Source organism: Homo sapiens, chromosome 4 (genome assembly GCF_000001405.40).
Source record: "Homo sapiens chromosome 4, GRCh38.p14 Primary Assembly".
In the NCBI taxonomy this organism is placed as follows: domain Eukaryota; kingdom Metazoa; phylum Chordata; class Mammalia; order Primates; family Hominidae; genus Homo; species Homo sapiens.
The window spans coordinates 151,671,583-151,684,830 of record NC_000004.12 but is presented as its reverse complement, the minus strand read 5'-3'; the positions used below and the strand labels follow the sequence as shown (position 1 = coordinate 151,684,830).

General features: G+C 47.1%; 1 protein-coding gene and 1 long non-coding RNA gene across 3 annotated transcripts in view, besides 1 other annotated feature; one reads left to right on the top strand and one right to left on the bottom strand.

Moving 5' to 3' along the window:
- The window catches only part of GATB (glutamyl-tRNA amidotransferase subunit B), a 90,504-nt gene that overhangs the window by 76,177 nt on the left and 1,079 nt on the right, over positions 1–13,248 (top strand). The window contains exons 11-12 of one of the 2 annotated variants that reach the window (NM_004564.3): positions 4,940–5,018; positions 11,935–12,069. In NM_004564.3, coding sequence (NP_004555.1) covers positions 4,940–5,018; positions 11,935–12,069 — 214 coding nt within the window. The remainder of the gene's footprint in view (positions 1–4,939; positions 5,019–11,934; positions 12,070–13,248) is intronic. The other variant, NM_001363341.2, reaches the window with a different exon arrangement.
- On the bottom strand, positions 6,941–13,242 carry LOC107986197 (uncharacterized). Its single transcript, XR_001741447.3, has 2 exons — positions 8,271–13,242; positions 6,941–7,531 (listed from the first exon to the last, which is right to left on the bottom strand). It is a non-coding gene; the product is annotated as an uncharacterized LOC107986197 (long non-coding RNA).
- Positions 11,485–12,284: an enhancer, noted in NCBI's record as "H3K4me1 hESC enhancer chr4:152593699-152594498 (GRCh37/hg19 assembly coordinates)". NCBI's record gives its function as "activates a minimal SCP1, AML or CMV promoter by ChIP-STARR-seq in naive and primed H9 embryonic stem cells {active_cell/tissue: H9 hESC(naive and primed)}" and the evidence as "EXISTENCE:reporter gene assay evidence [ECO:0000049][PMID:30033119]".

Below are 13,248 nucleotides of genomic sequence, written 5' to 3'. Positions count from 1 at the left end.
ATAAGCAGTAAAGTTTTAAGAACCTGAAGGGTACCCAATTCTAAATAAAGGTAGGCTTGGTTGTTCCAAAATCAAGTAAAGAGGAAGCAGGCAACAGTTGTGTTTTACAGTTTAAATGGAACAAGGACTGAGAAGCCAAAACCAAACCATAGCAGCTCTTTTCCTACACAGTTCAAAGAACGTTTAGCTGGACTGATATACTAGGCTACCCATAGAGCAAACATTAATTAATGAACAGCCTCAGCTATGAGTGCTAATGTTTCCAGAGCTTAGAAGGGCAGTAGCTGCAAAACTAGCTATAGTCTCACAATGATACCCAGGCAAGGAACACTCTGGAGATCAAATTGGTAGAGAATGATTACGTGAATTAGCATTCATCTTTAAAGACCTCTCAGAAGACTGATGTTTGAAGGGTCCAACCTCTTGTTGAACTTGGCTTTTTAATTGAGTATATTGCTTGAAAGGTTGGTTTATTTGGTTGACAGCTTCTGAATTATGAGTAACAGATTTGGTTTAGTTAAGAAAGTAGACATTGTAGATTTCCTGAGCAAGCATTTTGTGGTAAAATTAGGCAGGTACAGCTATCCAGCTGTCCAAGCCAGTTGAGTGCCCCAGTGTTTCAGGTGAGCTGTGGGCAACAATTTCTGAGCACTGGAGCAGGGAAGGATTTGAAACCAAGAAGGGACTGGAGGTGAGAGGAAGATGTGTCCCACAGCATGAAATGTAGGATAGCATCCAAGGATGGGCTGCAGGCATTGGAAACCTGTTGAGCTCACTGTGGCCAGACCCACAGCAAGTCAGAAGTGGTGGTGTTGGGAATGCAAAAGGCAGGATGGCCGTATTTCATGTTTGGAAGGATCACTAGGATCTGGTAATAAGGTACTAGATTTTTCAGGGAGTAGGTGATGAATAAAGCAAAGACAACATGATAATTTGCACTCTGATACCTAGAAGCGTGGTGTTGTCATCATTTGAGACAGAAGATGGGTGGTGGGAAATGCAGAGGAGCTGGTCTGTGAGGAAGACAAGTTTGGCTTAGGATAAGGATTGGGAAACTATAGCATGTCAGCCTCTGGCCTGTTTCTGTAGAGCCTGTGACTAAGAATTGCTTTTACCTTTGTTAAAACAAAGAAGCATATGTGACAGAGGGCACTCACCAAGCCTCAAATATGCGCACCCTAGCTCTTTCCAGAAGTTTGCCATCCTGGTTTAGAGCACATTGTCTAGGTGTGAACGGGGCCTCTCAGGAGGTGGTTGACATCAACCAGGGAGAGAAACAGGACCTGAGGCAGCAGCGGCAGCCCTGGGCATCCTCCTCACGGCTAGGGGTCAAGTCAGAGGACCCAGCAAGAGGACACCGGAGCCACCTGGCATGAACTGGCAAGGAGCAGCAGAGGGACAGGCAAGGAAGAGGAGGACATTCCGGAGGCCCAAGAAGGAGGTTTCACAAGGAGCTTACGGTGCAGCCCCAGGAGTCAGGGTGCAGCGGGATGGGGAGAAGCTGAATGTTTGGCCACAAGCAAGGGGGTTGATTTTTAAGAGAAGAGCTTCTATAGAGGGGTAGGCACAGAATCCAGATGGCATGTGCTTACACAGGGTAGGTAGTAGCCACTGGTGCTAGATCGTTATTGTTAAAGCAAGAAACTGGGCAGACGCAAGTGACTGCAAGGTCAGCCAAAGGCATTGTCAAGACAGGGAAGATCGGAGCATTTGTGAAGCTGTGAGATTCAAGCCACAGGACACGGGAAACCAGCATCTTTGGTTCGGAGGAGTGGAAAGAGTGGGGTTCTGAGCAGGGGTGGAGGGGTTGTTTGATGGAAGAGGAGGAGGAGAGTGCCCTAGAAAGTTCTCAACCGTGGCTCAGCTGATGTCCTTGTGAAATGGGAGGTGAGGGCATGTGCAGAGGAGGGGAGCAGAAGGGGGCTGCCTGGAACAGGCGCTTGGTGGGACGCCAGCTAGGGGCACTGCGAAATCCGTGAGATGAACACAGAATCCTGTGCGCAGCAGGTACCACCTGGAGGCCCAAGTCCCAATGTCTTCCTTCTTCTTGCATCCTGTTTTAACAGAAGCAGAGAAGGTGGACTTTGGGCCTGAGATAAGCTGGGGGATTGGGACAGACAGCATGGTTCACGGGGGGTCGGGGGTGGTTGTAGAAGCATCAGCGTTGTCTGCTCTCATCCAAGCAGGAGATGGAGCTGTGATCCTGAATGAGCTCTGAGGGACTGGACAAATTTTGGAGCTTTGAAAGAGCCCCTTTCCCCTCCTCTGTCGAACCGCGGCCTCAGAGAATGGGAGGGAAGAGAGCAGCACACAGAGCTGAAGGCCGCGGTGTCAGTTTCTTCTTCAGCGGAGACGCATTCACTATCCAGAAACCAGTATTACCTGACAACAGCAAATTAGTAGCCTGTGCTGCTGCTGCCATTGCGTGTCGAGTCTGAGGGTTTATTTATTTAGGCGATGAGTGGGGTCTTTCGGGGTCTGTGTGACAGGTACTGATCTTTGTCATCGTCTGACTCAAGTTTAGCCCTGGCATATGTGGAATTAACATGTGCAGTCTGCCAGACATCCCTATGGGTGTGAGGAAGCCTGTGACACAAATATGATGACCTACTGTGTGACAGGCATCGTAGGGACAGAAAAGTGATGGAGAAATCCCAAGTGTGATTACGTCAGTGGAAAGATTTTGTAGTCTAAATTTATGACCCAACTGATGAATTAAGGTCCTTAGATGAACTTCTCAAAGGCGACGTTATTTTTAGTTATTTTGTGTTCCTTTTCTGTCCCTCTCCACCCCTACGTCTTTTATGTCATTGCGGCGATCTGAATGTTGGGATCCTCCCCCAAATTCCTGTGTTGAAATCCTGACCCCTAAGGTGATGGTGTGAGGAAATGGGACCTTTGGTGGGCGATTAGGTCATGAGGGAGGGGCTTTTATGAATGGGATTAGCACCCTCATCAGAGAAACTTCTGAGAGCTCCCTCGCTCCTTCCACCACATGCAGACACAGCAAGAAGGTGCCACCAGTGAGAAAGTGGACCCTCACTAGACATGGAATCTGCCAGCGCCTTTATCTTGGACTTCCCAGCCTCCAGAGCAGAAATAAAGTTTCCATGGTTTATAAGCCATGTCGTCTTTGGTACTAACCTGTTAGAGCAGCCCAAACAGACCAAGGCAATCATCGACTTGTATGGGCCTAGGGACCTTATCTTTTGCACGCTCAAGAAATCCAGTTCCACCTCAGTGCTTCTTATGGGTTCTGCACACAGTCTGCATTCTAAGATAATGGGCCATGGTATTTTCTAGGATTGCAGAACATCCAGGCAACCCACGCTTTTAGAAAAATCCGGCCTGCCTTTTACTTGTTAGTAAAGGTAGGTTTTTTTAGTTTGTTTAGCCGCCCGCTGCCCCTCTTCCTTTTGAGGTTTAATCAGGGTGGTTCACAGATGTTCTGAATACCAATTTAGTAACACCAGATATTCTCCAAACCTAAGTTTCACTTGGAATTGCCTTTTAGTCATACTTTGGGATAAACAGACACTTACAGGATGATGGGCTGCCTCAGTACATCAGCTGTTTTAAGTGGACAGCCCCAATAGGGTTTCACTGCACTTGAATTAGAGTACAGTAAGTCAGTTGGTTAACACACACTCCATTGGTTTAGAGCCCGGGAAATCGGCATAGGGACTAAGCTGTAGTTTCCTTTGTATTTTCTAAGCACATCCAAAGAAATTAATTTTGCATGATGGGAACCAAGACTTAAATAGAAGATGTTTTCAAGTGGCATGAAGCATTTCAGAAGCCCTCATTTACACAGTGTAACACTAATGTGCTATTGATGTCATTCCTACCTTTTTAAAACCAGTCCCCAAATGATCTCAGATAGGCAGCATCTCATGAGCCTAGTTGCTATAAATACAGGTTGAGTATCCCTAACCTGGAAATCCAAAATGCTTCAAAATCTAAAACTTTTTGAGCATTGACGATGATGTGCAAAGGAAATGCTCACTGGAGCATTTCAGATTTCAGACTTTCGGATTAGGGATGCTAAACTGGTAAGTATAATGCAAATATTCCAAAATCCAAAAATATCCAAAATTGGAAACACTTCTGGTCCCAAGCATTTCAGATGAGGTAACTCAACCTGTATTTAGAAGTCAGAAAACCGTGCATTTTAAAAGAAATAGTTTGTAATTCACTGTTGTCTTTTCCATAATTTAGGCACTCACCCCTACCATTAATTCACCTTCAAGTGAATTAATGACACTTCGCTGTTTCACTATGCTTGGATGCCCCTGACCTTTTCTTTCATGGGATATTGGCAAATAAGTCACATCCTAGAAATATAGGTATAGTGGATTCTAGGCCCTTCTGTGTCCAGAAAGCTGTGTGAGCCTGGAGAAGAGAGTTATGTATCAGGTTCCTGAGGATGGATGAAAATGTGGCTGGTAGTCATTGTGTTCCCTTGCAGAAAATCTCTTGCAATTTAAAGGAATTTATATTTGCACAGAAACACTCAGAAACGTGACTTTGTTAGCTGGTTTTTTTTTTTTTTAAGTAATTTTTAGGCTGATCTTTCCGTTGAAAATATTTAATTACTGGAGTTTGTTTTCCCTTTCCTGTTGTGGTTCATGAATTTTGCAGCCACCTCCTTTTCTTGACTAATTACACTGAGCAGTTGTCTGTTGCTACAACTTCTGCCAAACAGCTGTTATTGTTGGGTGGTGAAAGAAAGAACACTAGTCACAAAAATTTGTTATATCCTAAGATATAAAATAAATAAGTAAAATAAAAGAGAGCCCAGTTGGCCTGCTGTTTTCATCCCTAGGCGTGGGTCCGATATTTACCCCCACTAGAGCAAGTGTTCTGATTCCGAACAGCCATTCATGGATGCCCTGACAGTGTGCAATGTAAATGTGTTTTCTCTTTTGGGGGCCACCAGTCCTGTCACACCCTCTGCACTCGCTGAGCTTCTTGACCTGCTGGACAGCAGAACAATTTCTTCATCAGCAGCTAAACAGGTATGTCCACACTCCCGACAGCTTCTGACTGTGCTACTGTCCCAAGAAATGTTTTCTGTGACACCCAAATGCCATCACTGAGTGACTTTCATCATGGAAGTATTAAATGCCAGTAGTGGTGTTTTTAATGCTGAAAGGTAGAAACATTTTATTTAGCAAGCGTATGAAGCCAATATGTGCAATGCAGGCAGTTTGCTTCTCGTCATCACCGCTAACCTGGGGAAATAGTTATTGTCTGGTCTTGCCCTGAACATCTCCGCCTGACATGTCTCCTGTAGCCCTTTTACACCTGAGAACTTTCCCTCGTGCCCAAGGCAGCCTCAGCTCAGCTCTCAGCCTGCTGGGGCTCTTGTCCCGCCCCCACACCGCCTCCCAGCCAGTCCCAGGGCTCCCTTGTCCCTGCTGCATGGTTGCCCTCAGAGAGTCTGTCCTCAACAAGGAGGGTGAAGTCAGACTCTGCACTTTGTAGATAAAATGTTACAGACATGCCCGGTGTGTGAAAACTCAGAAAAATAGCATCATCCTAAGCAGCCTTTTGTCTGTCTATACCTCTGCCTAAGTGCTAGGCAGTTGACAGACTCGTGGAATTCAGAAGATTCTTACAAATACATACCCAGAGGGCCGGGCACAGTGGCTCACGCCTGTAATCCCAGCACTTTGGTAGGCTGAGGCGGGTGGATCACGAGGTCAGGAGTTTGAGACCAGCCTGGTCAACATGGCAAAACCCCGTCTCTACTAAAAATACAGAAATTAGCTGAGTGTGGCAGCGGGCACCTGTAATCCCAGCTACTTGGGAGGCTGATACAGGAGAATCACTTCAATTAGGGAGGTGGAGGTTGCAGTGAGCTGAGATCATTGTGCCACTGCACTCCAGCCTGAGTGACAGAGCGAGACTCCGTCTCAAAAAACAAAAACAAAAACAAAAAAAACACATAACCAGAAAGATCAAGAACACCAAGGTGGCTGCCTCATCTCAGCTTCAGTGATCGCAGCTGTCAATGCTTCAGCCAGAAGTTTAATGTTATTTTAATGGTGCCTTTTGCATGTAACGTTTATCTGCACCGACAGTAGTGGCAGGTTACAAAGGGAGGCTTGGGGAAAGTGGCTGCTTTGGGATAATTATGAGGCACCATAGTGCACGCACCGGGCTGGGTGCTGTGGAACTGGAGACGGGACTAATAAAAGCTCTGTTTACCCACCTCGAGTGAGGCTGTCAACTACAGGGACCTCACCGCGTTTAGGAAAGGCTCTTGCTTGTCTGGATGTCAGGGGAATACAAATGTTTATGACAATGCTGAGCAGTTGCAGGAAGTTTAGATGGCCTGAGGGCAGAAAAAGCACTATATATATATGTAGAGAGAGAGAGAGAGAGAGAAGAACACATTGAATTATTGCACGTGAAATGAAAGAAGGGAAAAACCTTCCCCTTTTCCTACTCATCCTGCCCCACAACACAACAGAACAAAATACCTAGTGCGGTGAATAAGATAGTTCCAGTAAGAAGAAATGGAAAATGTTGGAAGCTGACAGCTGGGTTCAGATGTAGGGACGCTTTCAGATTTTATCAGCTTCCAGCATGTTTAAAGGAGGGGACTTCTGTGAGGCAGTCAAGCGAAAATACAAGCCTGGCTAGAAGGGTGTCTAGTGTGTGTTGCTTAAGGGGGTCCCCGTGATGTATCATTGCCTTGGGGTTTTTTTTGTTTTTCTACCTTTTTTTTCTGTTTTTAGGAAATTACTGATTTTCTGGGGGAAAGTAATATATGTTGATCATAAAAAAATATAAGTAATGTAGAAAAACAAAGATTCTCAGGTTCTACCACCTTGAAATAACTACCTTTAATATCAGATGAACATCATGAAGGAAGAAGGAGGAGGAGGGAGGAAGGAAAGATAGCAATAAAGACTTTCAAAAACTGAAGTTATGGTGTACTTTTTTTTAGTTTATTTCTTATTATTAATTATATAGTGTCAAGCATTTTATCTGGATATTTTATGTATTTATTGACTTTGTATTATTTATTTATTTTTATTTTATCTGGACATTTTATGAAAAGTACATCTGTGTTGCGGCACGCATCAGTCCTTCACGCCTTTTTAGGGCTAAATGGGGCTGCTCGTCTGCCAAGCCCCTTCACCATTGTACGGACACATTCCATTTTGTCTGTCCATTCATCAGTTGATGGACATTTGAGTTGTTTCCACATTTTGGCTATTAGGAATAATGCAGCCTTAAACATTCATGTACAAGTTTTTGCACACAGGCTGGATGTATACCTATAGGAATGGAATTTCTGGGTCATATGGTAATGCTGTGTTTCATTCATATAATGAGGAAGTGCCAGACTGTATTCTAAAATGGCCGCACCATCTTACAGTCTCACCTGTTAGTGTGCAAGGGTTCCAGTTGCTCCATGTCCTCACCAGCACTTGTTATTGTCCATCTTTTTGATTCTATAGCCGTCCTAGTGGGTGTGAAGTCGTATCAGGGAGGATTTGATTTGCATTTCCATAATCTGTTGAGAATATTTTTGTATCTTATTTTTATAGTGTACTTTTTTAAAAAAGAAAAATGTGTTACAGATATTTTTTTCCAAATTTAATAGAAGAGTCCAAGCATGGCTTGGGTTTTAGAAAGCTGTGAGCCAGAACAGAGACTCTCTGATCCTACTGGTTATTGGTGTTGCCTCTGGCAGAACTGGAAGAGGCTCCAATAAGTGATTAGATAGATGACCAGGGGATAAGGAAGAAAGGTGACTGAGTGACTGACTCCTAGGGATGACAGACACACAGAAAGAAGAATCATGTCCTGAGAGCAGAATTCCGAATTCCAAAGAACCTCCCACTTTGTGCTCTAATTGGTTATGAATCTGCCTTTCTCTGCCTGTCTCTCACCCACTTCCTTGTGCATTATCTTCATTCCTTCTGCCTTTCACTGCACCCTCCTCCCAGGTGTCCTGCCAGTGCTCCCGACATTTACAAACCTCATCCCTTCAGCACCCCAGAGCCAGGGGAGTTAAGAGGTTGCTGCCACAAAGCAGCCTTGTTCTTCAGAATCAGAAATAGAAGCTGGGAAATTATATATCATCATGAGCAGTTATCTCCTGGGAACTGTAGACAAAAGCACCCCGTGTGCCCCTCACAAGACCCAGGCTGTGTATTGAAGTGGCAGGTGGCACCCCGTCTCCTCCCCTCACTAAAGACAGGGTCAGCTTGGACACATCAGACTCCCAAACTGTCAGAGTTACAGCTAACCTGAAAACAGCCTCCCAGGATTCCCAAGCCTCTTGTGACTCGCCCTGGATGTCGTCCAGACAGCTGGTTAGTCATGGTTCAAGGGAAATCGCATGGGTTGTGTAGGTGTACGAAGGAGATCCTTCATGCACGTCTGGAAACAGATGCAGATGATCCACCATCCCCTGAGGATTGTCCAGTTAACGTTTCTGGAATTGGGTGCCGCAGAGATGGAAATCGCGTTTAACACACAAGTGTTCCATAATAACCAATCTCTTGTCTACTTTGTGGTCTGCTTTAAAGAGAAATCGCCAAAAACCTTTTAATGTACAAAATGTTATATATCATGCACCAAAGCTGTATTACAAATGACTAGATGTCTTTTTCTCTCTTTAGTGCTTCAGTTATCTGCACAGTTTACTGGGCCCCGCTTTATTAGGGGCTTGGGTTGATGTTTGTGCCTTTCTAGAAAAGTAACCTTTCACAATACTTGCCTTTGACCAAAAAGGGGGCTCCCTTCTCTGTAACTGTGACAGCTCCCTCCATGCCATGTCCCTTGAACAGGTCTTTCCACCATATCCTGACCTTGGAAACCCAGGACAGGCAGGGAGAGGCTAGAGTCTTGTGTGCTTTCCTTCAGGATACTTCAAAAATAGCTTTAGCTAGAAACAGTTGGGTGGCAACTAAGAGGGTGTGTAAATTCAGTCCTCAGGGAACCAAAGGCCGAGTCTCTGCCCCATGTGTCAGAGCCGGCTCCAGTGTCTGTGTGTGATGGGGAGTTCCCAGCTTGCATTACCCAGTACTCCTGGTCGGCCATTTATTAACACAGAGGACCAGCACTGTGCTAGAAATTCCTTGTTACATCTGTTTGTCTTGGGTAGGCAGCAGCAGGGCCTGGGAGCTGCGCTCCTGGCTGGAAACAGTTGCACTTGGATATCACTTCTCAGGGTGGGATTAAACACAGACAAAAGCTGAGGATTTATGCTGCAGCACAGGGCTCGGCAGCCACAGAGGCCACTCTGTGAGCGTCAAGAGGGCCAGGAGCAGGAGAGTCTGGCCTGGAGACAGGGCCGCTCCACTACCACCCAGTGGCTCCCACCCTCCTGGACTCCAGCCAGGAGTGCACAATCCTCGTCTTAAATAGGATTGAGCAAAGGATGGGACAACCGGCGTCTGTTGTATAAGCCTAGGGGACTGGGGACTGGGGGCCTCGACTGTCATGGCCACTGCACTAATTTGTGGAGTTAACTAACATTATGTATTCTAACTCTGGGAGGAAAGGACATTTCAGCCACCGGGCTCCCATGTGTTCCAGGAGGCTGCTGAATGATGTTTCTCTAGCGGCACTGCTTGGTACCACCCCGCCTGGCCCTCCTTCTCGGGGAGCAGCCAGCCTCTTCGTTTGAAGGCATCTGTCCTAGAGGTGCACTGCTTCTCCTTCTGAATGGTGTGATTGGAAGTGATCCCCAAGCACTCTGCCACTCTTCCGCTTATTTTGGCCCAGGCAAATCCAGCCAACATTCGAGCTGTGGGTCCCGTCAGAAAGAGGCTGGCTCACTGGCCAGCCTGCTCAGGGTCTGCCGTGTGCTTCCCACCGCAGCAGCTACCACAGGCGCTGAGAAATCGCTCCCTGGTCTGTGTCTGCAGACGCAGACCCAGGAGGGGCCCCGCCTACTTCCAGGCACAGGCTGCTCGTCCGCCTGGTTTTCCTGGAGGGAACTGCTGCGTAGATTTTTCACGAGCAAGTCCTTACAGGTGGTTTCTGTTTTGAGCCAGGTTTTCAGCTAGGAGCTTTTTTGGGAGTCTGTGCAGATGAACAAAATCAACACTGGTCAAAGTCTAGATATCTACGAGGAGGGGATAAATTATGATAAATACATCTGATGGATACTAGCTAGATCTTTTTATTAAGAAAGTACTTCTGTGCTAAATGAAAGAAAGCAGGACACAAACTGAATATACGTTATGATCCCAAGTATGTTACAAAACAGAAAGAAAAAGATGGGAAGAAAAAACACCAAAATATTAACATTGGTTTTCTTGAGAAAATGGGAATTCCGGTGATCTCTTTTGATCTCTCCTGTATTTCCTTATATTTTCTGCAGTGAATGTGTATTAACTTTTATTATTAGAAAATGATTTTTAAAATTTAAGTCCTAGTTCAAAAAATAAACGTGTCAGAGAAAGGGGGCAGATGGACTCCTCCGACTTACAGGGCAGCTCCATGGAACGCCATCCAGGTCCCCAGTGCTTCTGCTGGCAGCACTCCACTGATAAGCATGTTGAGAGTGAGGAAGTTTCTTCCCGCTTCTGTGCCCCCTTTCTCCCAATGGTTTCCTCATTGTCAGGCCACGTACATATCTGCTGAATTGAGTTGGAGGCACGTGCATTCTGTATTTTTCTAAGAGTAGGGCCAGGCTTTTCCTGAGCAGTCGGGCAGCGGCAGAGGGGTGCCCTGTAGGGAGCTTACCCAGGACCTGCCAAGCACACCTCCTTGGCCACAGTCACAGCGCACGTTCTGAGGCACCAGGCTGAAGGCGCAGTGCCTGTCCCAGCAGTGATAAGTATTTGTGGTTTGTTTTTGAATCAGACTGGGGAAGACTTTGAGCCCTGCTGAGACTCAGAGCATCTCCCTTTTATTTGCTTTGCTGTTCGTGCTAATTATGGAAGAGCTCTGTTTTTCCAGGAGGAATGGCTCCTGGTTGGCCCGTTCTCGGCCACCAAGGTAACAGGGAAAGTTGGGTGTTCAGTCATGACTGTGGACTGGACGGAGGTGGCACCGGTGGGAGACCAACAGAGGAAGCCCTCCTCCCGGCTCCCAATTCTGGCTTTCGCTAGAAGACAAGAGAAATGAGGAAAACAGCTACCCTAGGAAATAGCCTTCCTTGAAAATGGTTTCCTTTTTCTCAGGTTTGATGAATTTGGGGATTTGTTGTTGTCATTTTTTAAGTAAAAAAAAAATGCCCCAAACATTAGCGTTCATTATCCTAGTCTGATTTGGGTCCGGCTCTACCTGTAGGAGATGAATGTGGTAGGCCAGGGGGCCCCTGTGGATTCTAATTTATGTTTTCAGTTGTTTGCCATTTTGTATCTTCATTACGGGGCTACTTTCCTGCCTCCCTAAAGTCATCTTTCCCAGCATGCTGTTTCTGGACTTTATTTAGTACCGTGGTTACCTCCTGCAGGCTGTGTGGCCCCATCCTTCACCAAAATGTCACCTCAATTAATTCGGCGGCCATGAGACAGATCCATCAGTGGCCCGCCGACTCCCGTCAGCAGGCGCCCATGAGTGATGGGCACCTCCACGCCTCCCGCGGCCCCCCCCCGCCATGTGGAGTCAGCCGGGCAGGACTCACCATCCCTCTGGGCACGAGGGCATCTGGCTGGCCCGAGTCCTCTCACACCTTATGCTGAGGGAGACTTCAGCCTCAGGAGGAGACCCCAGGTGCATTCACTCCACCTAGCTGGCCTTGTTCCCCAGCCCTGCACTCAGGGATGCCTCAGGAGAGCCAACGCTCTGGCAGGGCAGCCAGGTGCCCTTTCCCTTTGGGCCAGGCCCAGGCAGTGGGGACTTAATTGAATCTGCTCATTCCCACCCCAGCTCCACACAGCACAGCACTGCAAATGGAGCTGGCAGAAGAGCTGACTTCTCATTTCTCTTTCCTCTCCCTTCTCTGGTCCATAGGTGTTTGAGGAACTGTGGAAGAGGGAAGGCAAGACTCCAGGGCAGATTGTTTCAGAAAAGCAGCTTGAACTGATGCAGGACCAGGGGGCACTGGAGCAGCTCTGCCACTCTGTGATGGAGGCCCATCCTCAAGTGGTGACTATCTCGGGCAGGGGAGAGGGCCAGAGCCAGCCCCAGGACATGCCCAAGAGCCTCGCCATCGCTCCCTGTGGCAGCCCAGAGGCTCTTCCTAAGAATGGCTGACCCAGTTTCATCAATAATTCCCTCACTGTCATCTTTTTAGTTAAGGTCAGAAGAGATGAAATAGGTGGATATTGGAAAAACACAACTTCTTTTCCTATAAGAAGGATGCCACCCCTGGAGTTTACTCTCCATGGAGGTGTAGTTTAAAAGGGTGTCAGCAAGCTCACGAAATCCAAGCTGTGACCTCCCAGGTGTGTCGCCCTCTCCCAGGGTTGGCATTTCGAATCTGTTGTGGTTAGCGCTACTTCCTAAGGACCTCCCAGTAAAGAACCAGCAGGTGTGCCGGCAGAGCAGGGAGAGTACAGGAACTTCAGCTTCATGCTTCTAAGAGGTGGGAAGAAAGGCAGAAGGGAAAAGTATTCATAAATTGTGGAGAAAATCCCTGACAGGAGCATGACTGAAAACCAGGTCATTTTGTGTTCTTAGCACAGCACAAGACATAAAAGCTAAAACGAGTGGCATCCCTCCCTCCCCAAGTCTAATCATATTGTCTAGAGATATTTTTTCAGTGGGGAAAAAAATTGTCGGCATCTTTTTCAGAATAATACCCACCCACCCATCAGCTTGCCGGGGACACTCACAGCTCTGTAAAGAGCTCTCGATAAGGAAAATGAGCCTGCACTGGGCCTCCACAGCCTCGTCTTCCTGCCTCATCTGTGGTGACTGATAAAGACGTGCCAGTAGTTTCAGGCTTGTTCTGTGGCACTTGAGTGCAGATCCTCATGTCATTGCCCTTGGAGACGCTGCAGAGCAGGAGGTCACGTGGTGGCCCTAAGAGTCAGTGGCTATCTGATAGGAATTCAGCACCTCCTGGCTTCCTCACTCCCCCTGCCCACACAGCACACTCCCCCCGACCCAGCGCTCTGGAAGACTCGGCCAGTGTGTAGATCTGCTTTCTGATAAAGGAATCTTCTTGGTGGGGAGCAGGGGGAGAAGGAAAGCCACACATTTCAGCTGAACATCACTGAGAATCAGAGAGGTGTCCTCACTGATTAGACGCAGTGATTCATCATCTCAGAGAGATTATCCCTCCCCAGACTCAGTGTCCTCGGTCATTGTGGCGTCGCAGAG